Source organism: Homo sapiens, chromosome 1 (assembly GCF_000001405.40).
Source record: "Homo sapiens chromosome 1, GRCh38.p14 Primary Assembly".
Lineage (NCBI taxonomy): Eukaryota > Metazoa > Chordata > Mammalia > Primates > Hominidae > Homo > Homo sapiens.
In genome coordinates this window covers 1725306-1753105 of record NC_000001.11, presented here as the reverse complement: position 1 = coordinate 1753105, position 27800 = coordinate 1725306, and the positions used below count along the sequence as shown (strand labels likewise).

The 27800-nt window shown below is 53.6% G+C and overlaps 1 protein-coding gene, 1 long non-coding RNA gene and 2 pseudogenes across 15 annotated transcripts in view, besides 2 other annotated features; 2 read left to right on the top strand and 2 right to left on the bottom strand.

Annotated features, from left to right (window-relative positions):
- Nucleotides 1-1874, top strand: part of NADK (NAD kinase) — a 29283-nt gene extending 27409 nt beyond the window's left edge. For all 12 annotated transcript variants that reach the window (XR_946747.3, XM_047428631.1, XM_011542009.3 and 9 more), the window contains one exon: nt 46-1874. Coding sequence is in view for 11 of the 12 variants with exons in the window: in XM_047428631.1 (XP_047284587.1) it covers nt 46-202 (157 nt within the window). In the remaining variant the exon portion in view is untranslated. The remainder of the gene's footprint in view (nt 1-45) is intronic.
- Nucleotides 1364-7287, bottom strand: LOC112268218 (uncharacterized). Its single transcript, XR_002958243.2, has 2 exons — nt 7209-7287; nt 1364-3191 (listed from the first exon to the last, which is right to left on the bottom strand). It is a non-coding gene; the product is annotated as an uncharacterized LOC112268218 (long non-coding RNA).
- Nucleotides 6755-6804: a silencer, noted in NCBI's record as "silent region_89". NCBI's record gives its function as "represses an Ori minimal core promoter by ATAC-STARR-seq in GM12878 lymphoblastoid cells {active_cell/tissue: GM12878}" and the evidence as "EXISTENCE:reporter gene assay evidence [ECO:0000049][PMID:35858748]".
- SLC35E2A (solute carrier family 35 member E2A (pseudogene)) lies at nt 7036-25721 on the top strand (annotated as a pseudogene). Of its 2 annotated transcripts, none has more exons than NR_173244.1 (6): nt 7036-7382; nt 13402-13870; nt 14049-14184; nt 14658-14785; nt 18271-18416; nt 20583-25721. The product of NR_173244.1 is annotated as a solute carrier family 35 member E2A (pseudogene), transcript variant 1 (transcript). The 2 variants fall into 2 exon arrangements; NR_173245.1 differs by lacking the exon at nt 20583-25721 and adding an exon at nt 8438-8855 and having other exon boundaries at nt 18271-20190.
- LOC100129381 (ribosomal protein S7 pseudogene) lies at nt 15815-17287 on the bottom strand (annotated as a pseudogene).
- Nucleotides 23307-23807: an enhancer, noted in NCBI's record as "H3K4me1 hESC enhancer chr1:1660738-1661238 (GRCh37/hg19 assembly coordinates)". NCBI's record gives its function as "activates a minimal SCP1, AML or CMV promoter by ChIP-STARR-seq in naive H9 embryonic stem cells {active_cell/tissue: H9 hESC(naive)}" and the evidence as "EXISTENCE:reporter gene assay evidence [ECO:0000049][PMID:30033119]".

Below are 27800 nucleotides of genomic sequence, written 5' to 3'. Positions count from 1 at the left end.
GCCTTTCTGGAAGCCCTGGCTCAGGCTGCTGCTCTCCCGTCCCAGCATCAGCATCACTACCTCATGCTACCCGCTCCCCTCCATCTGTGTGCGGGACCCCGTGAGCGACTGGTTTGAGAGCCTCGCCCAGTGCCTGCATTGGAACGTCCGGAAGAAGCAAGCCCACTTCGAGGAGGAGGAGGAGGAGGAGGAGGAGGGCTAGGTCAAGCCCCTATCCAGGCCCGAATCCTTCCGCTGCCCTCCAAGCGCCCTCTGGGGACAGACCAATCTGCGTGTGTCTGTGACCGCCTGTCTCAGTGGCACGGCCACTTCCTTTCTGTAGCTGGGTTAGAGCCTGGGTCTGCCTTTTGTCCAGATCAGCTGTTTTTTTAAAATGTCTGACTTTTTTTGCATTTCTAAAGAAGCGTGAGAAATGGGCTGGGAGTGCTTCTGTCCTGCTGACACCCCGCGGTGGGTCCCTGGAGCGCGGCCTCCAGCTGCCGCAATTTCCATGCCAGGATATTTTTCCGCAAATCAGTCGGTTGAAATTCAGAGGAGTCAGAATGACTCGACCTGTCCTTCAATGTTGATAATAAATGTCTCAGCCAAAAACCTTCCTTGAGCTGCCATGCTTTTCCCCTTGACCTGCACCTCTTCCCCTAAAACTTCTGCAGGGAAGCCCCTGGCGGAGGCGCCATTGAAAGCATGGTCTTGCCAGTGGCTGGCAAGGCGGTTTTGTTCTGCTCAGTTTCTGGAGAGGGTTGGATGCGTCCCCTGCCATCCAGCCCTCCCCGCTTGAGGCCAGCACTGAGTCTGGGACACTCAGCGGGAAGGGGGCTGGCATCGCCAGCGACCCACACATTCCTCACGTAGCTTCTGCTCCCAGGAAGGTAGTTTAAATCCTGTATATACTTTTTAGAGACTCTTTTAAACTTTCTGAAGTGCTGATGTACATACTTTCTCGTACACACTTTTGTGAAGATTTCAAGGGGAAGGGAGTCGTCTGCCATTCAATGTTTACATTTATGTTCTGCAAGACGCTGTCCTCAGGGACCATTAGGGGACCATTCTGTTCAGTGCGATCCTGATGGTCCGGGAGATGAGGGTTTCCGGGGCTAGTGATCGTGATCCCTTTTATTTGCAACTGTAATGAGAATTTTTCACACTAACACAGCGAGGGACTCAACACGCTGATTCTCCTCCTGCCTCTCCCGTGAGTCTCCAGCCTGCCCAGCACCGGCAGCTGTGGAGCACGTGGATGCTGCCTACCCCGGCGCCCGCGTCTTCCACGGGCACAGGTGTGTGGAGGCCGTGGTCGGACCCTGGTGTCCTGGTTACTGCTGCCCGGGTGTCTTTTTTTTGAGTAACTGCTCTCTGAGTTTTGCACACGAAGTTGCCCTCATCTGCTGGAGATCGATAAGGAAGGCACAAGACGTTCTCCTCTGCCCGTGAGGAGCTTCCCGCAGCCGCCTGGCCCAGCCTGGGCACGTTCTCCGAGGCATGTGTCTCCCTGCTCACCCTCGTCTGGGCACCTCAGCATCTGTGGACTTGAGCGTCCAAAAACCCTGAGTGTGATTCTGGGCAGCCGGCCTGGCTTGAAGTCCGCCATGACCCTGGGCACAGGGGAAGCCCAGCCGTGGGCTTAGGAGAGAGGGACCAGCGCCCAGCGTTAGGGCTGGAAGACGGCAGTGTTCAGAATTCCAGCCGCTCATCTGAACACAGAAGGTGTGAACTGACCTCTAAAGCAGCGTGAGATGGGAATGATCTAGAAAACTTTGGATTTTTGAAGTAAATTTTAATGTTTCATATTAATTTCTTGAAAATGTATTAAATGTCATTGAAAGCCTTATTACGCTTTTCAGATCCTTTCAATAAACAAGACTTGTAGAAAATAAGCTGGGTTAATAACAGCTTTCTTCTGACGCCGTGGAACCAACATAGAGGGGTCGGGCAGGGTCACCCCCATTAAATCCTAGCCCCAAAATGCCCATCCACCGAGTGTGGGGCCGGCAGGGCATCCTCCCCAAGGGGCTGGGGGTGCCGCTGCCTCTTCCGGGCAAGGGGGCAGTGCCCTGGCGGGGGTAGGGGTAGACAGAAGGGACTCAAACCCGAGGGGTGGTGTCGACTCGGGCAGGCTGTGTTGCTCCCGGAAGAGCCACTGAGACCAGGGGGAATTGAGTCCCTGCATTCCCGGGGCCAGCAGGGCTGGAAGAGCCCCTCCATCCGGGCTGCCTAACAGGGGCAGCCACAAGCCAGGTGAGGACCCGCTGGCCCCTGGGCCCAGCCTGGGCACCGATATCGGCCTCCCTCCCTCCACTGACGTGGTCCTGCGCCCCGCAACCCCCCCACCCCGCACCGTCCCTGTTGTCCTAACAAGGCCCAGATGAATGTGGCTCAGGGCTTTGCCGGCAGCCAGTCTGCACTACACGCGTGCAAGTCCAGGAGAGACCAAAACGACCACCCTGTGGACACCTGCGCCTCCAGCACCCTGCCCCGTTTTGGGGACGTGAAACCCTGGGCTGTGGGCCCCGCCCTACCGACCTGGAGCGCCTCTGCCTCCCCGGCCTGGAAGAGGCTGTGGGTCAAGCCTAACCTTCTCGGCTTTGGGGAGCACAGAGTCCCCAAGACATCCTCGGGGGCTGCCGGGCTCAGGCTCTGGGGCATGGAAACCTTTTCGAGCCTGAAACGGCGGCATCCACGGTCCCTGCCGGGCCAGTGCCAGCCTGCACCCTGGGCACCTCTGTGCTGGGCCCGGCACCCCCACCCTGCCTCCCACAGCCAGGGTGTCTCCTCAGGTCAGGTCCAAAGGGGCTGCAGCCAGGCCCAAAGACCCAGCCCAAGTCCCATGGCTCCTGCGGGGTCTGGGTGAGGCCTGTCCTGCTGGGAGCCCAGGAGGCTGCGACCCTGCCTGGAGCTGGAAGTCTGGTTGGGGGGTGGTAGCAGGGTGGGGCGGGTACAGGGTAGAGGAGCCGGCCGGAGGAGCCCAGGGAAGGCTGGCGGTGCTGGGGATGTAGGGGACAGCAGGAGCTGGTACATCACCACGTGGTTCAGCTGCTTCCAGCACATCCCGCCCCAGAAGGATCTCAGCCAGGGCATGGGCTGCCTTCAGGGTCTGGCAACACCAAGGAGCCAAGGCAGGTGGTAAACCGAGGCCACAACCTCCTTAGGAGCCTCCACAACCAGGGCGCACAGCTGAAAGAGGAAGGAGGCCCCTGCGGAGAGCAGGGTGGGCAGGAGTGGGTGGCCAGGACAGGTGGTGCCCAGTGACCGGCGGTGGGGACCCGGGAGCCACAGAGGAGCTGGCTCAGCCACCCCTGTGCAGGAGGCACCTGGGGCCTGTACTCAGGCCTCACCCAGGGCTGCCCCACGCCCACATCCTGCTGACAAGCCCCCAGGACCAGCATCCCCACCCAGCTGCTCTGTGCAGAGGGGACAGGAGGCCAGACAAAAAGATGGACAAACACCCACGTAGATTCACACACACACAAACAGACACACCACACAGAAAAATATGCATGGACGCCACTGAGACACGCTAACACCACACACTCAGACACAAACACACCACACACACAGACTCACACAGATACACACAGAGAAAAATACACATGGACGCCACTGAGACACATACACTCAGAGACAGGCAGTGCGCTCTGGGCAACAGGAAGCTTCCTCCAAACCAGTGAAGGGCCCAGGAAAGCATGAGCGGCCCTGACGTGTATGGAGGGTCCAAAGGCTGCGGGAACTTGCCCGTGAGTGACCTTGGCCTGGAGAACTCCCCGGCCTCAGTTTCCCCACCTGCTGATGAGGACAAACTGCAGGGGCATGAGCGGCTGCTGCTCCCCTACTTCTGCGCAGGTGGCCGAGTGGCCTGCAGGCTGGGTCTCCAGGTGGGGACGCTTCCTTCTTCCTCCCCACCCATGGGGCCTTGGCACAGACCCTTCTCTGGGGCCTCAGTTCACACCCCACACTTCCCTGCTGTCCTCAACGCCCCTTGGGAAACTTCAGCTCCTTTGGGCCGGCAGGTCTCACCCTCCTCCCCAGCGGGAGCCCAGACCCAGACTGAGGCTGGCTGGGGGACAAGGAGGAGCCTGTGGGCCGGGGGGGACCCCGAAGGGGGCAGGACAGAGCTAGCCATGACTGCTTTCCTTCCTGCCTTCTACATCATCCAGGACCTGAAGGCAGAGGAAAGGAATCCCACAGCCCATGGGCCGCTCAGCCTGGGTAGACCCTGCCCCGAGGTCAGCAGACGGCAGGGAGACCCAGAGAGGCTGTGAAGCAAGAGCAGCACAACCCGGAAGGTCCCAGTGAGCCAAGGATGCACTTTGGAGGCGGGGTTTGCACAGCGCCTGGACCCATCAGTCTCCCACACAGCGAGGGCGTCCTAACTGATTCCTAACTGACTCCACGTCATGTGGATAGAAATTCATTAATATGCATAACAAATGACTACATGCAAGCAGGAAAACATTTGCAATAATACAGCAGGTCGATGTTCTCAACTAGGAAAACAGTTGCAATAATACAATGCGTGGATGTTCTCAATACAGTCAAAGCTCATATAATCAACACAAAACATTCACAGAAAAATTGTCAAAGGGCAGAAACCGATGACTCAAGGAAGAATATAAATAGCTAAGAAGTAAATGATCAATAATCAAACTAGAACATAATCAAAGAAATTTAAAATTAAAATTATTAATACACTCCTCCCAGGCAAAATAGCAAAGAGAGGGGACATGGTGGCTCACACCTGTAATCCCAACACTTTGGGAGGACGAGGTGGGAGGTCCTTCTGGGGAGAGGAAGAGAGGAAGGCACACAGGCTTCCAGACACTATTCCAAAATCATTAATACGCACACCCCAGGCCCAGCACGGTGACAGCCACCTGCAGACCCAGCTACTCGGGAGGCTGAGGCCAGAGAGCCCTGAGTTTGAGCCCAGCCTGGGCAAAGTAGCGAGATCCCCCATCTCAAAAATAAAATAAAATGCATGGTTCCTCATGAAATGTAAGGCTTTGCTATAAAAACTTTGAGAGGCCAGGCGTGGTGGCTCACACCTGTAATCCCAGCACTTTGGGAGGCCAAGGTGGGTGGATCATGAGGTCAGGAGTTCAAGAGCATCCTGGCTAACAACGGTGAAACCCCGTCTCTACTAAAAATACAAAACAATTAGCTGGGCATGGTGGCGGGTGCCTGTGATCCCAACTCCTCGGGAGGCTGAGGCAGAAGAATCTCTTGAACCTGGGAGGTGGAGCTTGCAGTGAGCCGAGATCGCGCCACTGCACTCCAGCCTGGGCGACAGAGTGAGACTCCGTCTCAAAAAAAAATAAAGGCCGGGCGTGGGGTAGCTCACGCCTGTAATCCCAGCACTTTGGGAGGCTGAAGCGGGCAGATCACAAGGTCAGGAGATGGAGAACATCTTGGCCAATATGGTGAAACCCTGTCTCTACTAAAAATATAAAAATTAGCTGGGCGTGAGGGCACACATCTGTAATCCCAGCTACTCAGGAGGCTGAGGCAGGAGAATCACTTGAACCCGGGAGGCGGAGGTTGCAGTGAGCTGAGATCGTGCCACTGCACTCCAACCTGGGCGATGAGAGCGAAATTCCATCTCAAAAAAAAACAAGGAGTACTTTTTATAAATCTGCTTTTGAAATCATTTGGATACCACAGCGGCCCTGCTGACCACAACAGCTGAGACTGTTGGGCAAATCACCAGACATTTCTGGGTTTCCTGGAAAGTAGGAGAATCTACTTTGTAAACTGCTCTCAAATTTATGAACTCCGTGTGGATAGTGAACTCAGGCAGCAGGCAGGTGGCACTCCACTGCGTTAATTTCACTTCATTTTATAATTTTCTTTCTTCCTTTTTTTTTTTTTTTGACGGAGTCTCACTCTGTCGCCAGGCTGGAGTGCAGTGGCGCCATCTCGGCTCACTGCAACCTCCGCCTCCCGGGTTCAGGTGATCCTCCTTCCTCAGCCTCCGGAGTAGCTGGGATTACAGGCGCCCGCCACCACGCCCGGCCAATTTTTGTATTTTTAGTAGAGACGACGTTTTACCACGTTGGCCATACCAGGCTGGTCTCAAGCTCCTGACCTCGTGATGCGCCGGCCTCGGCCTCCCAAAGTGTTGAGATTACAGGCGTGAGCCACCGGGCCCGGCCCAAAAGTAATCTCTAAAGAGCCCTTTAGCCGTAACTTCATTCCTGAAAATTATTTGGGAAAGTAACGCTAGGAAAACGCTCGACGAAGCTCCGGAGCCGGGGGTCCTCGGGGCCGCAGGCGCGCCCGCGGGTGTCTGCTCCGGATGTCCCGCGGCAGCCCCGACGCCAGCCTGGATACGAAGGCCCCGCCCCGGAGCGCGCCACCAGCCAATCAGCGCCCTGAGGCGAGTCCTCACCCCGCGCGGCGGCCCCGCCCCCCGCAGCTCCGGGCCCAGCTGTCAGAGCAGCTTTCCCTCAGGCTGGGCGGAGCGTGGCCACTTCCGCCAGGAGGCGCCTTTGTGTCTTCTAAGTTAAGCCTATTCAGTGGATTTCTTATTCCTGGAACCCAAACCTGGGCAGTAAACCCTCCGGGGCTTAGAGGCCGCTGCCTCCACAGACTGGCCGATCCCGCCCTGAAGTGCCGCTGGTGGAACAGCCCGGGCGGAACCAACGGGCTGCCGCGGGGGGTGGGGCCACGGTTCCCCCCCCTTCTGCCTTCAGTGGAACGGCCCCGGCGGAACCAACGGGCCACGGGGATGCACTACGCGCACCGTCGTCCTCTCCCTCTGCCTGCAGTGGAACGGCCCGGGCGGAACCAACGTGCGGCCGCCCGGAGCACTCGGCGCGCCGTGTCCCTCCCCGTGTGGCTGCACTGCAGCGGCCCGGGCTGGACCACCAGGCGGCCGCGGAGAGGCACTTAAAAGCCCCGTGTTACCCTAGACCTTAAAAAAAAAAAAAAAAAAAACTGCGTGTTTCCACCCCCGTCGGCCTGCAGTGGAAGGGCCCGAGCAGAACCAACGGGGCAGGGGACGCTGAGCGCGCCGTGTTTCTCCTCCCGTCTGCCTGGAGTAGAACGGCTCGGGCGGAACCAACGGGCAGCCGCGGGGGCGTTGTGGGCCGCGGCGCGTTTCCCCGGCTCCGTGGCTCTGGGGCACTGAGGAGCGGCGCCCGCGGGGCAGCGAGGAGCCCGATGCAGGGTTCTGCGCGTCATTTCCGGTCCCGCGGGCGCCCCGTGAAGCCCACCTGGATCCGCCAGCGCTGTGCCACTCCCCAGTGCCGAGCTCCGAGCTGTCTCCGCGGCCTCGCGCCCGGCCCCTCCACCGCGCACCTCTTAGGCCCCGCCCGCCAGCGTCCCTTTGTTGTGAAGGCGCCGGGGCCTAGCGCTATGCCTGCGGCGGAGACTGCATCAGGCTCTCGGTGGGTTCTGCGTGCGGGGTGCTCTGCTCGGTGATCGGTGCTTGGTGCTGCGTGCTCGGTGCTCGGTGCTGGGTGCTGGGTGCCGGTACTGATGCTGAGTGTGCGGGCGTCCGGGGTTTCCCTGCCCGGATTCGCTCCTGGGGGTCCTTTCCTATGGCTGGCGCTGTGCGCGGAAAACGCTGGTGGGGTTTTCCCAGCTGGCTTTAAGCGTTTTCACGTCCGGGAGTCCACGGCGACCCCCACGCCCTGAAGCCTGGGAACGCGGTGTGCGTGGCCGCAAAAAGAACAACAACAACAAAAAAACACAAAACAAAACACGCAAAAAACTAAAGCAAAACTCCCGACAGCCGAGCCCCGTTCGGTGCCTTTTCTTTTTTTTTTTCTTTAATGGAGTGAAATCTACTTTGCTCAGGAAGCCTGCAAATCACATTTTCAGGCCAAACGAGGCAGTATTTTAGAAGGGGTCGCTGAGGCAGGAGTAGGAAGGCTTTCCACTCCACTCACGCATTTTCAGTGTAGGCGAATCGTAAAACGGAGGGCAGAACGAAAATGAGCGGATCTGGGAGTGCAGGCTGCGCTTCGTCCACATCGATAACAGATGTTTCCTGGTGAAGATGTGTAGGGCGCAGCGGGTCACCTGGTCGGGGGAGGGCACAGGGCGTCCCTCCACGGGGTGCCTTTGGCGTTGGGCACTTGTGTGGTCTCCAGCTTCCGGGTTTTGGAAGCGGAGTGTCCCCTGCAGCCTGAGCCTCTTGCAGGTGGTTTCCTTGGGACGAACTCCCAGGGGGAGGTCTGAGTTCTGGGGCGTGGTTTGAAGATTTGGGACACATTTTGCCTGAAATTCCCTGCTGGCCGTTTGAACCCACCTGGACTTCCTGACCAGGGGCACGGATTCTTAACCTCTGGTGCAGGGGCCTGGCTAGGAGAGGTCTGCACAGTTGGACGAGGTGCAAAGTGACGCTTTGTCAGTAACCCGGCGTTGAGATTCCTGTGGTGGGACGAGCAGCTCCTATGGCTTTATCCCATTTTAAATCCAAGTTTTCTTTTCCTTCTAGTCCTCGGGCTCCACCCGGGGAGCTGTGCCCAGACAGCAGAAGGGAAGGATGTCACTTCTGAGATGAGGTTCAGAAAGGCCTGGGCTCCTGTCCTGGCTGCTCTCTCCCACTCCCTGATGAGCTTGCTGGATGAAAGCTCCTGTCAGGCTGTGGGGCGTCCTGTGGAGAAGCTGGCAAGAAACTGGTGGGGGCCCTTTCCACCTATAGCCAGCAAGGAACTGAACCCAGCCAGCGTCCACCTGAGTGAGCTCAGAGGTGGGCCTCAGCCCCAGTTGAGCCTTCGGATGAGGTCACAGCCCTGGTCCATGGTGTGACTGCAGCTTCAGGAGGGACCTTAAGCCAGAGGTGCCTGGCTAAGCTTCCCGCAGATTGCTGCCCCACAGGAGCCAACATCAAAAGCATTTGTTGTTTTGAGGTGGTAAGTGTGGAATGACTGTTACAGGGCAGTAGAGAAGGAGCATGCACCCTTCCTGCTTCTTATTTGCCTTTTAGAAATTGTCCTCTGTGAATCGCTTGAACCTGGGAGGTTGAGGTTGCAGTGAGCTGATATCTCACCACTGCACTCCAGCCTGGGCGACAGGAGCGAAACTCCTTCTCCAAAAACATAAATTCTTCTCTGTGAAATATGTTGTTTTGTTTTTTTTTTTTCTTTTCTTTTTGAGACGGAGTCTTGCTGTGTCACCCAGGCTGGAGCAGGCGCAGTCTCAGCTCACTGCAACCTCCGCCTCCCAGGTTCAAGTGATTCTGCTGCCTCAGCCTCCTGCGTGGCTGGGATTACAGGCGCCTGCCACCACGCCTGGCTAATTTTTGTATTTTTGGTAGAGACGGAGTTTCATCATGTTGGCCAGGCTGGTCTCGAACTCCTGACCTCAGGTGATCTGCCCGCCTTGGCCTCCCAAAGTGCTGGGATTACAAGCATGAGCCACCATGCCCCGCCAATATTTTTTTTTTTTTGCCTGTTTTTCTAATTGGTTTGTAGGAATTCTTTATACTTTCTGGTTATTAATCCTTTGTCATGTTGCAAGTATCTTTTGCCAGGTTGTGGCTGTTCATTTCACTTTGTGGTATGTGTGTGTGTGTGTATATGTATATATATATATATATTTTTTTTCTTTTTTTTTTTTGAGACAGAGTTTTGCTCTTGTTGCCCAGGCTGGAGTGCAATGGCACAATCTTGGCTTACCACAACCTCTGCCTCCCCTGTTCAAGTGATTCTCCTGCCTCAGCCTCCTGAGCAGCTGGGGTTAAAGGCATGTGCCACCATGCCTGGCTAATTTTGTATTTTTAGTAGAGATGGGGTTTCTCCACGTTGGTCAGACTGATCTGGAACTCTCAACCTCGGGTGATCCGCCCACCTCAGCCTCCCAAAGTGCTGGGATTACAGGCGTGAGACAAGTCTGGCCTTTTTTTTTCTTAAGACAGAGTCTCGCCCTGTTGCCCAGGCTGGAGTGCAGCGGCGCAGTCTGGGCTCACTGCAACCTCCCCGTCCTGGGTTCAAGCAATTCTCCTGCCTCAGCCTCCCAAGTAGCCAGGATTATAGGTGCATACCACCACACCTGGTTAATTTTTGTATTTTTAGTAGAAACAGGGTTTCACCATGTTGGTCAGGCTGGTCTCGAGCTCCCGACCTCAAGTGATCCGCCCACCTTGGCCTCCCAAAGTGCTAGGATTACAGGCATGAGCCACTGCGCCTGGCCCACTTTGTAGTGTACTTTGGTGAAACAGAATTCTTCATTTAGCCAAGTTAGTCCACCTGACCCTTTTTTTAATGGGTCATGCTTTTGGGGTTTGGTTAGAGAAATTATTGTCCTACCCCAAAAAGGGTCAGGAAGACATTCTCTTATATTTTCCTGAGCATAAAGTTTTACACATTTAAGTTTATCATAAGAGCAGGCCGCCTGGGTTCGAATCATGACGCTGCTGCTGCGAAGCCGTGTCTTTCCTTCGTGTGTCTCACGTGGGTGATAACAGCACCTTCCCCAGAGGGCTGTTGTGCGGATTCACCGCTGTGCAGAGAGTGCTTCGGACCCTCCAGCAGCACAGTCAGGGCTGTGTCAGTGTTACTAATTGTCGCTGTTTGTCTACTGATAATGAGATCAGAATCCAGTTTTTCTTTTTGCCTGGCAGCATGGACAACTGTCCTGGTATCATAGACTGAATAAAGTTTCCTTCTTCAGCAATTCGTGGTGCCTCCATTCTGCGTACACCAGACCTGTTTGTTTTTTTTTTTTTTTTTAAGACAGTCTCGCTCTGTCACCCAGGTTGGAGTGCAGTGGTGCAATCTCAGCTTACTAAAGCCTCCGTCTCCCAGGTTCAAGCGATCCTCGTGCCTCAGCCTCCTGTGTACTTAGGACTACTGGCACCCACCACCATGTCCAGCTAATTTTTGTATTTAGTAGGATTTCGCCATCTTGGCAAGGCTGGTCTCAAACTCCTGACCTCAGGTGATACGCCCGCCTCTGCCTCCCAAAGTGCTGGGATTACAGGCGTGAGCTACTGCACCTGGCCTACGTATGTTTATTCTGTTTTGCTTTTTTTTTTTTTTTTTTGAGAGAGGGTCTTGCTCAGTCGCCCAGGGTGGAGTGCAAAGGCGCGATGTTGGCTCACTGAAAGCTCCGCCTCCTGGGTTCACGCCATTCTCCTGTCTCAGCCTCAGCGTCCCGAGTAGCTGGGACTACAGGTGCCCGCCACCACGCCCAGCTAATTTTTTTGTATTTTTGGTAGAGACGGGGTTTCACTGTGTTAGCCAGGATGGTCTCAATCTCCTGACCTCGTGATGCGCCCACCTCGGCCTCCCAAAGTGCTGGGATTACAGGCTTGAGCCACCGCGCCCGACCTCGAGGTCCTTATTCTTTTGCATTTGTTTACTCGCCCAGCCCTGCACCAAGGTCTCAGACTGAACTAGAAGTCCTCATGTCTTGGGAGGACGGCTGCCACCCCCTCCCTGCGCCTCCGTCTCCTTGCAGGACGTGTTTGTCTTCTACTCATCGTGCGTGCATAGCTTTCTCTCTGATTCACACATGCTTTGTGCGTGCATAGCTTTCCCTCTGTGATTGACATGTGCCTCATAGGGCTGGATCTATCTCGAGACTACATAGCCTCTTGTTTCTAAGCTTTATTTTTTTCTGGGACAGAGTTTCGCTCTGCCGCCCAGGCTGGAGTGCAATGGCGCGATCTCTGCTCACTGCAGCCTCCGCCTCCTGGGTTCAAGCGATTCTCCTGGCTCAGCCTCCTGAGTAGCTGGGATTACAGGCACGCGCCATCATGCCCGGCTAATTTTTTGTAGTAGAAATGGGGTTTGACTGTGTTGGCCAGGAGGATCTCGATGTCCTGACCTTGTGATCCGCCCACCTCAGCCTCCCGAAGTGCTGGGATCACAGGCGTGAGTCACCGTGCCCAGCCTCTTTTTTTCATTTTTATTTTTATTTTTTCACTACAAGGCTGCCTTGAAGGACTTCCTTTCGTGTTTGCATCTCGCTTCACTCACATGATGAAATCTGGCTCTCGTCATGTACAAAATGTTTATGTGTTTGCCCAATCCAGAATTCTAACCCATGAGTCAGCCAAAAAAAAAAAAGAAAAGGGAGGCTGGGCACAGTGGCTGATGCCTGTAAATCCCAGCACTTTGGGAAGCCGAGGTGGGCAGATCACGAGGTCAGGAGTTCGAGACCAGCCTGGCCAACATGGCGAAAACCCGTCTCTACTAAAAATACAAAATCAGCAGGGTTTGGTGGCACGTGCATGTAATCCCCACTACCTGGGAGGCTGAGGCAGGAGAATCGCTTGAACCTGGGAGGCGGAGGTTGTGGTGAGCCAAGATCGTGCCATTGCACTGCAGCCTGGGCAACAAGAGTGAAACTCCATCTAAAAAATGAAATAAAAATACAAAAATTCACTGGGCATGGTGGCGGGTGCCTGTAATCCCAGCTACTCAGGAGGCTGAGGCAGGAGAATCACTTGAACCCGGGAGGTAGAGGTTGCAGTGAGCTGAGATTGCGCCATTGCACTCCAGCCTGGGCGACAGAGACTCTGTCTCAAAAAAATAAAAGACCAGGCACGGAGGCTCACGCCTGTAATCCCAGCACTTTGGGAGTCCAAGGAGGTCGGATCATGAGGTCAGGAGATCGAGATCATCCTGGCTAGCACTGTGAAACCCCGTCTCTACTAAAAATACAAAAAATTAGCCGGGCGTGGTGACGGGCACCTGTAGTCCCAGCTACTCAGGAGCCTGAGGCAGGAGATTGGCGAGAACCCGCGAGGCGGAGCTTGCAGTGAGCCGAGATCGCGCCACTGTACTTCAGGCTAGGCGACACAGCGAGACTCCCGTCTCAAAAAAAAAGAAAGTAGCATGGAATTAGTCCTGGGCACCCGGCAGCGGCAGCCACAAAGCCCATCGAGAAGGTGCAGCTGCCAGGCAGGGCGTGAAGGACCCACAGCCCCAGGTCTGCCAGGACGACAGTCAAGTGTGCCAGGAGACCGTCTCTCAAGAGCAAGGATCCGCCAACACGCGCAGAGAAAAACGGGATTCAATTGCTAAAAATCTTTGGACAGTGAACGATTGCATTTTCTTTTTTTCTTTTCTTGAGACAGAGTCTCACTCTGTCACTGAGGCTGGAGTGCAGTGGTATCATGTCGGCTCACTGCAACCTCCGTCTCCTGGGTTCAAGCAATTCTTCTGCCTCAGCCTCCCGAGTAGCTGGGATTACAGGCGCCGGCCACCATGCCCTGCTAGTTTTTATATTTTTAGTAGAGACGGGGTTTCGTCATGTTGGCCAGGGTGGTCTCGAACTCCTGACCTAAGGTGATCCACCTGCCTCGGCCTCCCAAAGTGCTGGGATTACAGGTGTGAGCCACCGTGCCCGGCCCAATTGCATTTTCAAAGTGATTTTAAATTGGTGGTTGAAACCTTTGAGGACATTAAATGTTCAAAACGGGTGATGTGTTTCCTTTTCTTAATATTTTAGCGTCTGCTTCTACGCTTTGCCTGGGAGAGGCCCTGGTGGCCTCGTTCCTGGCGCCCGGAGTCCCTGCTGCGGCCCCACCCCCGGGCGGTCACGGTGACCCATGCTGCCCAGCCTGGAGGTAAAATCGTTCGTGGCTGTGGCTTCAGCATGTCGTCCTCGGTGAAAACCCCAGCACTGGAAGAGCTGGTTCCTGGCTCCGAAGAGAAGCCGAAAGGCAGGTCGCCTCTCAGCTGGGGCTCTCTGTTTGGTCACCGAAGTGAGAAGATTGTTTTTGCCAAGAGCGACGGCGGCACAGATGAGAACGTACTGACCGTCACCATCACGGAGACCACGGTCATCGAGTCAGACTTGGGTGTGTGGAGCTCGCGGGCGCTGCTCTACCTCACGCTGTGGTTCTTCTTCAGCTTCTGCACGCTCTTCCTCAACAAGTACATCCTGTCCCTGCTGGGAGGCGAGCCCAGCATGCTAGGTAGGCGGCGGCTCGGGCAGGGTGGAAGCCGGCCACCTGCCACCCCACAGGGAGCAGCCAGCAACCACCCGGGAGGGCCGGGGGAGCCCAGGTCAGGATGGGAGACCGGGGGTGGAGCCCACTGCAGGCACGGGAGGGGTGATTCTCCCTCTTGTCTTCGGCCCCCTCCCTCCCGCAGGTGCGGTGCAGATGCTGTCCACCACGGTTATCGGGTGTGTGAAAACCCTCGTTCCTTGCTGTTTATATCAGCACAAGGCCCGGCTTTCCTACCCACCCAACTTCCTTATGACGATGCTGTTTGTGGGTCTGATGAGGTAAAGAATCTCCTGGTTTTGGTTGAGTGTCTCTTTTTCTTTAAATGTAAAGTCCCTCTCGTTACTAGAGCGGGGACTCTGCTGGCTGGTGAGTTTTCAGTGCAGACTTTATAAAAGCACCAGGGCTGTCCAGATTTCAGGACACCAAATGAATGTGGCTTCGTGGCTCTCACTGCCACGTGTGTTCAGTCAGCTTCTTTCCGGGCTGGTGGTCTCAGGACAGGGTGCCTCCTTGTCTCTGGGACGTTTTCAAGGGGTGGCAGAAGTCACTTCCCATTGGACGCAGTGCCGTTTCCTGGGGGCTCGACCTAAAGCGTCACAGAAGCGGGTCCAGGCACCATGTTGGTGATGAGGAGGTGGGCGGAGAGGGGCCGACGTGCCAACCGAGCGAGCGAGCCCCTTGGAGAGCCTGCCCGGTGGGTGCAGGCAGACAGACTCGTTCTAAGGTGATGGTGCTTTTGGCTCATTTTTAGGTTTGCAACTGTGGTTTTGGGTTTGGTCAGCCTGAAAAATGTGGCGGTTTCGTTTGCTGAGACGGTGAAGAGCTCCGCCCCCATCTTCACGGTGATCATGTCTCGGATGATTCTGGGGGAGTACACAGGTGAGGCCCCCTGGGCCCCACCCCTCCGCCTGCGCCCCACCATCCCAGGCCTCCATCCGTGGTGCCCGTCTCTGCTGCCTGCCATGGGGCTCTGCCGCGAGGACCACTCAGAGTGGTGCCCACACTGGCAGTGCCTTCACTTCTCTCACGGTCACATGTGCGGGGGTGTCTTGGAGCCTGGCGTCTGCCAGGTGTTCTCACACTGGCATGCGGAGGTCAGGGCAGGGTTGTGTCTCGTGGCCCTAACTGGGTGGGGAGACAGGTGGGGGCTGGGCAGATTCCTGGCAAGCAAGATTACTGCAGGTGCCAATCACTGATCCGAAGAGGACGGGCGGGGGCCGCCTTCGGCCAGCACCATACAGGCGGCCGTGGCCCCTGGTCCGTGGGCCCTCCTGTGCCAGCACCCCACAGCCTCCCCAGCACCCGCCACCACAGGCCTGTCCTGGGCCCCAGCCCCTGACCTCAGCTGCAACCCAGGCTCCTGCCTCTCCCACCTCTTAATGACTCACAGGCGATTTCCAGTGACATGTCAGCCCCATGTCGCGTACCCAGTGTGGCTGCATGAAAACCAGCGAGGAGCAGAGGCGCCCACAGAGCGCGGCATCTTGAACGGAGTGTGGGGGTGCACACGTGTTCGCTTATTTAAGAAACGACAAGATCTTAAGGCCGAGGGAAGTGTCTGTCTGCCTTTGGGGACGGGAGGAGGCCGAGGGTCCAGGATGGGGTTGGGCTTGCCCCACATGCACTTGAGACCCGCACACACGTTTAGGTGATTATAACAAAATCAAAGCCTAAAAGTCAACTCTGGTTTTTTTTTGTTTTTTTTCTTTTGTTTTTTTTATGTTTTTGAGACAGGGTCTTGCTCTGTCGCCCAGGCTGCAGTGCAGTGGCGAGGTCACGACTCACTGCAACCTCGGCCTCCCAGGCTTAGGCAATCCTCCCACCTCAGCCTGTTGGGTAGCTGGGACCTCAGGCATGTGCCACCATGCCCAGCTAATTTTTGTATTTTGTGTGTCTTTTTGTTTTTTCACTGTGAGTATACGTTAGTCATTTTTCTTAACAATTGAAACTGGGAACTCTGGGGATTCAGAATTAACAGCCTTGGCTGTGAGCTTCTTATCGATACCAGAAAAAGTTTGGACCTTGCGTTCCACGTTGTTCTGCTGGGCTTTGTCCGAATGAACCCTTGTGAGCTGCTGTGTCCATTTCACGCGGATTCTCCTGCCCACAATTTCACCTGGGAAGACCGAGTCCTCGAGGATTGCGACGTGCGCAGCTGTCGGAGCGTGGATCCTGGGACGCTTTTGCTTATTTTTTGTACACCTTTTTTGAGTTGGTTTAGGCAGAATTTTCCTCTAAGCAATAGACGACATACTTACCAGTGAACTTTTTCTCCAATTCACGTACTAGCCAGACTTGGATGTTCTGGAATTATTTCAGTGGCAGAAGAAGAACAAAGATTATGATAACTTCCTTTTTTTTTTTTTTCTTTCTTTCTTTCTTTTTTTTTTTTTTTTTTGAGACAGAGTGTCGCCTTGTCGCCCAGGCTGGAGTTCAGTGGCTCAGTATTGGCTCACTGCAACCTCTGCCTCCCAGGTGCAAACGATTCTCCTGCCTCAGACTCCCAAGTAGCTGGCACTACAGCTGTCTGCCACCACACCCAGCTAATTCTGTTGTATTTTAGTAGAGACAGGGTTTCACCCTGTTGGCCAGGCTGCTCTCGAACTCCTGACCTCAAGTGATCTGCCCGCCTTGGCCTCCCTAAGTGCTGGGATTACAGACGTGAGCCATTGCGCCTGGCCTTTTTCTTTTTTTCTTTTTTTGAGACGGAGTCTTGCTCTCTCGCCCGGGCTGGAGTGCAGTGGTGCGATCTCGGCTCACTGCAAGCTCCATCTCCCGGGTTCTCGCCATTCTCCTGCTTCAGCCTCCTGAGTAGTTGGGACTACAGGCGCCCACCACCACATCCGGCTAATTTTTTGTATTTTTAGTAGAGACTGGGTTTCATTGTGTTAGCCAGGATGGTCTCGATCTCCTGACCTCGTTGATCCGCCCGCCTCAGCCTCCCAAAGTGCTGGGATTACAGGTGTTAGCCACCACAGCCGGCCCTCTTTTTTTTTGAGATGGAGTCTCGCTTTGTTGCCCAGGCTGGAGTGCAGTGGCGCAATCTTGGCTCACTGCAGCCTCTGCCTCCCGGGTTCAAGCGATTCTCCTGCTTCGGCCCCCTGAGTAGCTGGGATTACAGGCACGTGCCACCACACCCAGCTAATTTTTGTATTTTTAGTAGAGACGGGGTTTCACCATGTTGGCCACGCTGGTCTTGAGCTCCTGACCTCGTGATCTTCCCGCCTCAGCTCCCCACAGTGCTGGGATTCCAGGCGTGAGCTGCTGTACCTGCCCATGATAACTTTCTCACCACCACCAACTTCAGTTTCCCTCGCTGCTGTAATAATCAGTTCCCTGAGCTGGGCCTTGAGGTCCGAGTTCATCTCCAGCTCCAGAAGAATCTAAGAAGGCAAGAACACCAGGGTCAACCCTCAGTGCGTGTATGAGCACCCCCAGCCTCATTTTTGTGTTTTCTATAGAGATGGGGTCTCGCTGTGTTGCCCATGCTGGTCCTGAACTCCTTATCTCAAGTGATCCTCCTGCCTCGGCCTCCTAAAGTGCTGGGATTACAGCCATCAGCCGCCGTGTCCGGCTTTAAAAAGCAATCCTAAAAATCGTAAACAAAATGACACAGAGGAACCTTATTGCTCATCGAGCCATGCAAGAAAGGAACCGTTTATTTCCAGCAAGTTTAAAACATCGATTTGACCTCCAGCCATGGTCGATGAGATGTTAGAAAACCAACTCTCTTGCTGACAACAACGAGAAAATCTTGATACCATTTAGCAAAAAGAAGTCTGTGGGGGAGGCGTTGGAGAGTGACGGAACTGCCACGGCCTGAGGCACCCGGCTTCCGGAGCCTCTGGCAGCCCAGAGAAGTCTCTGTCTTGTCGCCCAGGCTGGGGTACAGTGGTGCCATCTCAGCTGACTGCAACCTCCGCCTCCGGGTTCAAGTGATTGTCCTGCCTCAGCCTCCTGAGTAGCTGGGATTACAGGCGCCCACCACCATGCCTGGTTAGTTTTTATGTTTTTAGTAGAGACGAGGTTTTACCGTGTTGGCCAGACTGGCCACGCCCGGCCCCGCATTGGGGTTTCTGTTGCATTTTCCTGATGATGGTGATGTTCAGCCTTTTTCATGTGCTTGTTGTCCATTTGCATCTGCATGGTGAAAATTAATTAGTGCAAAAAATAATAAAAACAAACAAAAAACAGAAAATGGATGAGTGCACAGTTCAGCTGTCCCCTCGAGGCATTTTCAGGGCTGTCCTCAGTGGCAGCAGCTTTACCCAGTTTCTGGGCAGGAGTGGCGCTGGGTGTTCGTGGTGGATGATTAGTAAATGGAAAATGGAAACCAATAGAGTACCCTTTTGTTTGCCACATAGGACGTCCCAGTGATCGGGAGGAGCGGGAAGAGCTTCAGCTACAACCAGGACGTGGTGCTGCTGCTTCTGACAGACGGAGTCCTGTTCCACCTTCAGAGCGTCACGGCGTACGCCCTCATGGGGAAAATCTCCCCGGTGACTTTCAGGTGAGCAGAGGAACTTCCCAAGAGTTGAGTGTGTCCAGGTTGTTTACAAAGGAGACCAGAAATCTAGGTATTTTTATAAGGGACACATGTGATTCTCTTCCACGGGGATGACTGTGGCTATGCAGTGTAATTACTAGGCTATTTTATACCCATGCTGTTTGAAATGCAAACGATAGGCCGGGCCCAGTGGCTCATGCCTGTAATCCCAGCACTTGAGAGGACAAGGCAAGTGGATCACTTGAGGTCAGTAGTTCAAGACCAGCTTGGCCAACATGGTGAAACCCCATCTCTACTAAAAATACAAAAATTAGCCGGGTGTGATGCTGGGCACCTGTAATCCCAGCTACTCGGGAGGCTGAGGCAGGAGAATCACTTGAACCCAGGAGCCAGAGGTTACAGTGAGTCGAGATCTCACCACTGCACTCCAGCCTGGGGGATGGGAGCGAGAGTCCTTCTCAAAAAAAATAAATAAAACAAAAAAACAAATGAGAAACTGTAAAATAAACCGTAAACTGTGTGAAATAGGTATTTAGGGAAATCTCCACTAGAAGTCTCTGAGTTTGAAGGTTTTTGAAATTGAGTGCTTTCTGTCTAGAATAGCAGGGTGCTGCGACTAGTTTTGTCTGCAGGAATGGAATGGTCTCTTCTGGGCTGTCCAGTGCAGGAGCCACTGGCCACATACGGCTTCTGAGCCCTTGAAATGTGGAGAATATAACAAGAACCAGATTCGGAATTCAAGCTGATTGCTGTCAGTTTGAACTTGAACAGACACCTGTGGCCACTGCTTCCTGTGCCATGCGGTGCAGCTCTAGAAACGGGGAGGATCCTTCAGCTTCTTTCCACTTCTGTAACTGGGCAGATTGAATGAAGCTGCAATTTATTTGTTTATGTATTTTATTTTATTTTTTGAGATGGAGTCTTGCTCTGTCGCCCAGGCTGGAGTGCAGTAGCGCCATCTCAGCTCACTGCAAGCTCCGTCTCCTGGGTTCACGCCATTCTCCTGCCTCTGCCTCCCGAGTAGCTGGGACTACAGGCGTCCGCCACCACGCCCGGCTAATTTTTTTTTGTATTTTTAGTAGAGACTGGGTTTCACCGTGTTAGCCAGGATGGTCTCGATCTCCTGACCTTGTGATCTGCCCGCCTCAGCCTCCCAAAGTGCTGGGATTACAGGCGTGAGCCACCGCGCCCTGCCTATGTATTTTATTTTTCCCGAAACAGAGTCTTGCTCTGTCACCCAGAGCTGGATTTCTTTGGTTTGATCTCGGCTCACTGCAACCTCCGCCTCCCGGGTTGAAGTGATTCTCCTGCCTCAGCCTCCCAAGTAGCTGGGATTACAGGCGCGTGCCACCATGCCCGGCTAATTTTTGTATTTTTAGTGGAGACGGGGTTTCACCATGTTGGCCAGGCTGGTCTCAAACTCCTGACCTCAGGCGATCCGCCCGCCTCGGCCTCCCACAGTGCTGGGATGACAGGTGCAAGCCACTGCACCCGGCCAAAGGTGCAATTTAAAGACTGGAGACTAGCCAGGTGGACTGGAGGTCAAGGCAGGCAGATTGCCTGATCTCAGGGGTTCGAGACCACCCTGGGCAACATGGGCAACCCTGTCTTTACTAAAACACAAAAAATTAGCCAGGCCTGGTGAAATGCACCTGTAGTCCCAGCTGCGTGGGAGGCTGAGGCATCAGAATCACTTCAGCCCGGGAGGCGGGTGTTGCAGTGAGCCGAGATTGTGCCACTGCACTCCAGCTTGGGCTACAGAGTGAGACTCCGTCTCAAAAAAAAAAAAAAAAAAAAAAAGACTGGAGACTTTTTGGTGGCAAATACAAAGGAATGAGGTTATGTTACCAGCAAGTATAGGAGTCCATGCAGCTGGCATCAGCAGCTGGCCACCTCATACCCTGTTGCGGAAATCAGCGGACCTTTTTTCTGAAACTTCTGATCTGTCATGAGGAGGTGTAATTGTCCCCAAACATGAAGTGAAAAGCCGACGTTGGGGCTGGCGGGAATGGTGGACAGTCAGGTGTAGCTCTCCCTCTTCTCTGCTTTCCGTCTGGTCCAAGTCAGTGCGGTAAATTCTCAAATACCCATCCGAGCTGGTAGCTGTGCACCACGCACGCAGCGTTCCACAGCTGAGGAGCTGGAGCTTGTGCTTCCTCTCACCTGCAGGTCCCGCAGGCCCTGCACCGAGTCGCCTTGTCCATGGCGCTGCCCTGCCCCATGCTTCCTGCGTCCTGAGTAGGAGGTATCTCCGAGACAGGAAAAGTGGCCGCTCTCTCTCACTTTTTCTGGAACTCATGGTGGTCTCCTGGGCTTGGTCACTGTCTCTCACCAGCATGTTTCTTTGTGCGGTCAGGAATTATTTCCAAATGCTCCTGAAGCCTAGTGTTTTAGTGAACATTAGTGATTGTTAGCAGTGGTTCAAAAAAAAAAAACTTTTTTTTTTTTTTTGAGACAGAGTCTTGCTCTGTGACCCAGGCTGGAGTGTGGTGGTGCCATCTCAGCTCACTGCAACCTCCGCCTCCCTGCTCAAGTGATCCTCTCGCCTCAGCCTCCTGAGTAGCTGGGACTACAGGTGTCCACCACCACGCTGGGCTAATTTTTGTTTTTTGTTATTTTATTTTATTTTACTTTTTTTGAGAGATGGGATTTTGCTGTGTTGTCCAGGCTGATCTTGAACTCCTGGCCTCAAGTGATCCACCCACCTTGGCCTCCCAAAGCGCTAGGACTGCAATTATGAGCCACCACACTCAGCCCAATTATTTTTCCTTTTTTTTTTTTTTTTTTTGGAGCCAGAGTCTCACGCTGTTGCCCAGGCTGGAGTGCAGTGGCGCGATCTCGGCTCACTGCAACCCCACCTCCCAGGTTCAAGACATTTTCCTGCCTCAGTCTCCCGAGAAGCTGGGATTACAGGTGCCTGCCACCATGCCCAGCTAATTTTTGTATTTTTAGTGGAGACAGGGTTTCATCATCTTGGCCAGGCTGGTCTCGAACTCCCGACCTCAGGTGATCCGTCTGCCTTGGCCTCCCAAAGTGCTGGGATTACAGGCGTGAGCCACCGCATGTTGCCCAATTATTTTTCAGTAGTATTTTTTTGTTTTATTTAATTTCATTTTATAAGAGCAGTGAATTAAGTACACATTATGGAAAGTTTGCAAAGGGTACTTCCTGTCACCCTTTTTTTGCACGGTCCTAACACTGTGTACTTGGTACCCTTTTCACCCAACAAATGATCTTAAGGGATTGCTTTCCCTGGGGCTACAAAGGCACTGTGAGTGTGTGGGAGATGTTCTTGTTTTTTTTTTTTTTTTTGAGACAGAGTCTCGCTCTGTCACCCAAACTGGAGTGCAGTGAGTGGTGAGATCTCAGCTCACTGCAGCCTCCTCCTCCCGCGTTCAAGCTATTGTCCTGCCTCAGCCTTCCAAGTAGCTGGGATTACAGGCACCCGCCACCACACCCAGCTAGTTATTTGTATTTTTAACAGAGATGGGATTTCACCGTGTTAGCCAGGATGGTCTCGAACTCCTAACCTCGTGATCCGCCTGCCTCGGCCATCCACAGTGCTGGGATTACAGGCATGCGCCACGGCGCCCGGCCTCCTACAGTGCTGGGATTACAGGCTGAGCCCCCACGCCCAGCTTCCCATAGTGCTGGGATTACAGGCGTGAGCCCCCGTGCCTGGCCTCCCACAGTGCTGGGATTCTAGCACCCGACCTCCCACAGTGCTGGGATGACAGGCCGAGCCCCCGTGCCCAGCCTCCTACCTGTGGTGGTTTCCAGCCCTGAGGTTGAGGACAAACCTCTCGTGTTTAACTTGGGAGGAGATGTGTACGTTCCTTTTCTTTTTTGGACTCTGAGTATGAGGCAGGCTGTTCTGAGGTCCCCGTGGGGTGAGCCTGTCTGTCCTCCCTCAGAGCCCACCGTTCCTATCATCATCTAGCACCTGTCCGGTTCCCCACGTGAGCCTTGGGCAGGACGCTGCAGTGTTGATGGTTTGGGTTACGTGGCGTTTACCTGGGCGCCGTCCTTGCTGAAAAAGGAAACGTCCACACTGAATGTTTCTGGGGCGCGTGGTGTGTGTCAGGCGCCCACCCTGTCCCACTCTCCCCAAGGGACAGTAGTACGGCACACTGGGGCCACCAGCCAGCTCAACTCATCCTCCTGTGTCACGCACCCCCGAGGGCGCAGGAGGCCTGAGGAGTGGCTACTGGAGCCGTGTGTTAGGCAGAGGCTTCTGACCATGTCTGAGCTCTTTACCCCCAATCTCGCAGCCGGCGGATTCCCATGCCCGGTGCAGCCTGTTGCCAGCCAGCCTTTGAGACCCAGAGCTCCAGGGCTTGTCAGAGGCAGCATGGGGCTCCAGTGGTCCCGAGTCTCATTTCCCTGCCTGCTCTTTAGGCCTTTGGCACCCATGGTCACTTCACTGGTTTTCCATTTGGCTTCTCACCTGGGAAATACAAAAATAGCCCCTCCTGAAGATAAAATCGTTCAGAAACAGAGCAATAATTCTGACTCATTAACTTCTACCTACTCAAAAAAGTCTGCCATGATGATGGACCGAAGTGAGGCTTTTTAACCCACAAGTAACCTTTTTATTTTTTTGAGACAGTCTTGCTCTGTCTGTCACCCAGGCTGGAGTACAGTGGCATGATCTTGGCTCACTGCAGCCTCGACTTCCTGGGCTCAAGTGATCCACCTCAGCCTCCCATGTGGCTGGAACCACAGGCACGTGCCACCATGCCTGGCTATTTTTTTGTTGAGCTGGGCTCTCGCTTTGTTGCCCAGGCTGGTCTTGAACTCCTCGGCTCAAGCAATCCTTCCCACTCAGCCTCCTGTAGTGTCGAGAATATAGGCGTGGGCTACTACACCTGCTTCAGCCGCTTCTATAAAACCGCTGACCTGTGTGTGGAGGACAGGCCAGGTGTGTGCTCACTGCGCTGCGAAGATGTTTTGTCACGTGACTTTCCCTGGGTTTCCATTTCTTTTTTTCTGCTTTCCTCAAAAACTAATAGAAGACCGGCTGCGGTAGCTCAGGCCTCTAATCCCAGCACTTTGGGAGGCTGCAGATGGCGGATCACAAGGCCAGGAGTTCGAGACCAGCCTGGCCAACATGATGAAACCCTGTCTCTACCAAAAATACAAAAATTAGCTGGGTGTGATGGTGGGTGCCTGTAATCTCAGCTACTCAGGAGGCTGAGGCAGGAGAATTGTTTGAACCCCAGAGGCGGAGGTTGCAGTGAGCCAAGATCGTGCCATTGCACTCCAGCCTGGGCAACAGGGCAAGATTCCGTCTCAAAAACAAACACTATTAGAAAATGCTCTGGAGGTGGCGGGGAGTTGTTGATTTGTGAGGACAGATTGAAAGCAACTCCCAGGGTGGCCTTGTCCACCTCCCCATCGAGAATATGGCTGCCGGCCTCTTTGAAGATTGTGGTCTGGCATAAGGAGAGGTGCAGGCGCCTGGTTCTGAGCACCTTGGAATTTCCAGCCGCACAGAATCTGGTGCCCTCCCCTCCACCCTCACAAGGAGCTGCCATCCTGTTTGGATTTTCTGTTTGTGGACCAGAAACAAACGTTTTTCCAAAGGATTAGCAAATAGGTTGATTTCCTGTGTAACGCTGCTCTGGGGCCTCTTCCTCATCCTGGCAGAAGGAGCCTGGAGCCCATGAGGCAGCCAGCACTGTGCCCTTGCTCAGTCGTGCTGTCCCCTCCCTCTCCCTCAGTCTCTTCTCCATGCCCAAGTCAGTTTCCAGCCGCTGGTCTTCATGGCATTCCCAGCACAGCTGGACACCAAGAGGCAAAACCCAAGGCCTGGCTTGGCCGTGTTAACGATTGTACAGACATTTTTTTAAATAACTTTGTGTAATACTTTTCTAGAATAGTAAGTTCTTGTTGAACTGTCACAGATGAGCTTCTAGGAACACACCGGGTGTGGTTACTTCCACTGGGTGTGTCCATGGTCGTGGTCTGTGCCTTTGTAAACAAACAGAACACTTGAACCACCTTCCGAATTGGGTCATCGGCTTCTTTACATTGATACTTAGAGATTTGCAGCTCTCTAACTTTCAAGGAAACTTCCCCTACTGAAAGGCATAAAAAGGTTAAAAAAGAAAATCCGAGAGTCCCAATTCCCTGTATAACAGCATTAAAATAATCTGCCTGCCTGGAAAGATGAGAACACTGTTGCACAACCCAAAATGTGTTTTTAATTTGTGAAAAATTACCATGGTGAGTCAGACAGTCATTTTAAACAGCTGAACAGAGACTATCATCAGCAAATAGAGCTCAGCTTTGTAGCTGCCTTTAAAATCCTTGTCCCAAATCCGGTGAGCTCTGCTTGCTGCCGCCGCGCTCCTGGGTGATCACTCAGACGGGTCAGTGGGAATAACGGGCCAACAAGACAGCTTTTTACATGTGTCCAAAGGATGGCCTTTCGAAGGCCTGGAAGTATTTCACTGTTGGAAGAAGTAAACAAGAATGACATTCCAGATGGAAATAGAATTCTCTCTCTTGCCTTTGACCAACATGGTACTAAGGGGTTTCTTCTTTCCCAATGTATGTACGTGCCCTGCTGGGGGCCTTACTTTATAGAATGAGAGCATCTGAGCTTCCCTAATGAATCTGGCTAGTTCTGTGTCTGGCTGAGGATACAGGAGTGGGACATCCACTCTCGGATCCCTCAGAGCACAGAAACCTTCAGCTTTGCTGTCTCTGAAGTATTTCCTCCAGTTTCCCTGCGGGCCCCTATGTTTGAGTTTGATGGCTGCTGGATCCTCACTCAACGAAAACTCGGTTGGAAACTGTTCCGCCTGGCAGTCCTTTTTTGTTGTTTTCCATCTCATTTCCCTTCCATCTGAAAGTGGCATTCAGCTGACTTGCTCATTTAGACTGTTCACGGAGTCTGAATCTGCCAACGTGGTGTTGGAGGCTCCACCTTGAAAAGGGCCACAGTCAGGGCAACTTTCCCCATACAGGAAAACTTGAAAATTACATCAACAGTCTACGTCACAGCCAAATTATATTTCCTTTATACCAAACAAAACTATGGAGAACTAAAAGTACATCACACAAAACGTTTATAGTGTTTTGCATGTGACCTATTTCAGTATTTATATAACTAGATTAGTGCTTTCTAGCAAACGGTTCTGTTAATTAGCGAGTCACTGTTGATTCTGCTGTGGTGGTAAGTTGATACCGTGTAACTAATCCCGTGGATGCCTCCTGGTTATTTTTGTCCAAACGAAGCAGCCGTGGTAGTAGCTGTCTATGATTCTTGCTCAGCAAAGTAAAATAAATGTTAAATATGGACTGCTTTGTTTTCTTCCTTGTGGACCTCTGGTGTTCATGCTACTTTGTTCACCGGTGGGGCTGGCTATTGCTAGCAAAGAGGCTCTTCACAGAAGTGGCTGGACCCAAAGTTCTGGTTGGGAAAGGCCTTTGTGGCAGCTCCTATCAAGCGCAAGTGCGAGGCCACCCCCTCCTCGTGGGCTCTGGGGTCGATTTTGTTAGGGTTTGACATGAGTGGCTGCATTTGGGTACTCAACAGATTTCACAAAGGAAGGGTAAACTGGAGATTTTTGGCCGGGCACGGTGGCTCATGACTATAATTCCAGCACTTTGGGAGGCTGGTGGGCAGATACTTTAGGTCAGGAGTTCAAGACCAGCCTGGCCAACATGGCAAAACCCTGTCGCTACTAAAAATACAAAAGTTAGCCAGGTGTGGTGGCGCACGCCTATAATCCCAGCTACTCGGGAGGCTGAGGCAGGAGAATCACTTGTACCCAGGAGACGGAGGCTGCAGTTACCCAAAATTGTGCCACTGCACTCCAGTCTGGGTGACACAGCGAGACTTTCTCTCAAAACAGAAAAAAAAAGGTGCTGTGGCTCACGCCTGTAATCCCAACCCTTTGGGAGGCCAAGGCAGGCAGATCACAAGGTCATGAGATCAAGACCATCCTGGCTAACACAGTGAAACCCCGTCTCAACTAAAAACACAAAAAAATTAGCCGGGCGTAGTGGTGGGCGCCTGTAGTCCCAGCTACTCGGGAGGCTGAGGCAGGAGAATCACTTGAACCTGGGAGGTGGAAGCTGCAGTTACCCAAAATTGTGTCACTCTACTCCAGCCTGGGTGACACAGTGAGACTTATTTCTCAAAAAAAAGGGCAGGGTGCTGTGGCTCACGCCTGTAATCCCAGCACTTTGGGAGGCCAAGGCAGGCAGATCACGAGGTCACGAGATCAAGACCATCCTGGCTAACACAGTGAAACCCGGTCTCAACTAAAAATACAAAAAATTAGCCGGGCATGGTGGCCCAGCTACTCTGGAGCCTAAGATGGGAGAATGGAGTGGAGGCGGGAGAATGGCGTGAACCCAGGAGGCGGAGCTTGCAATGAGCGGAGATCCCGCCACTGCCCTCCAGCCTGGGCCAGAGCGAGTCTCCCTATCAGAAAAAATAAAAATAGCTAGGCGCAGTGGCTCACGCCTGTAATCCCAGCACTCTGGGAGGCCAAGGCGGGCGAATCACAAGGTAAGGAGATCGAGACCATCCTGGCGAACACAGTGAAACCCCGTCTCTACTAAAAAAAATACAAAAAATTAGCCAGGCGCGGTGGCGGGTGCCTGTAGTCCCAGCTACTCGGCAGGCTGAGGCTCGCAGGATAATGGCGTTGAACCCGGGAGGTGGGGCTTGCAGTGAGCCGAGATTGCGCCACTGCACTCCAGCCTGGGCGACAGAGCAAGACTCCGTCTCAAAAAAAAATAAAAATAAAAAAATAGGGAGATTTCCCCAGTTACCAAGAACTCAGGAAGCAACATTAAGAGCTTGGGGGAGGCCAGGCGCGGTGGCTCACGCCTGTAATCCCAGCACTTTGGGAGGCAGAGGCAGGCTGATCACGAGGTCAGGAGATTGAGACCATCCTGGCTAACACGGTAAAACCCCGTCTCTACCGAAAATAAAAAAAAAATTAGCCGGGCATGGTGGCAGGCGCCTGTAGTCACAGGTACTCAGGAGCCTAATGCGGGCGAATGGAGTGGAGGCGGGAGAATGGCGTGAATCCGGGTGGCGGAGCTTCCAGTGACCCGAGATCGCGCCACTGCACTCCAGCCTGGGCAACAGAGCGAGACTCCGTCTCAAAAAAATAAAAATAAAAAAAGAGCTTGGGTACACAAAGCAAGCAGCATTTCATTCCGGGATGAAAAGAATTCCGATACCCATCGCCCTTCTTGGGCCCTTGTCAGTTTCTTGCCACATCTTTCATTTTCCCATTTCAGGCCCAGTAAATGCGGATGTTTATCTTCCATTGTTTGTTTCCTGAGATTCAGATGTCTAAAGCATTTTTCTGTGACTTTTCAAGGCAAGAGGAAAACCTGACATATGGAAAGGGAATT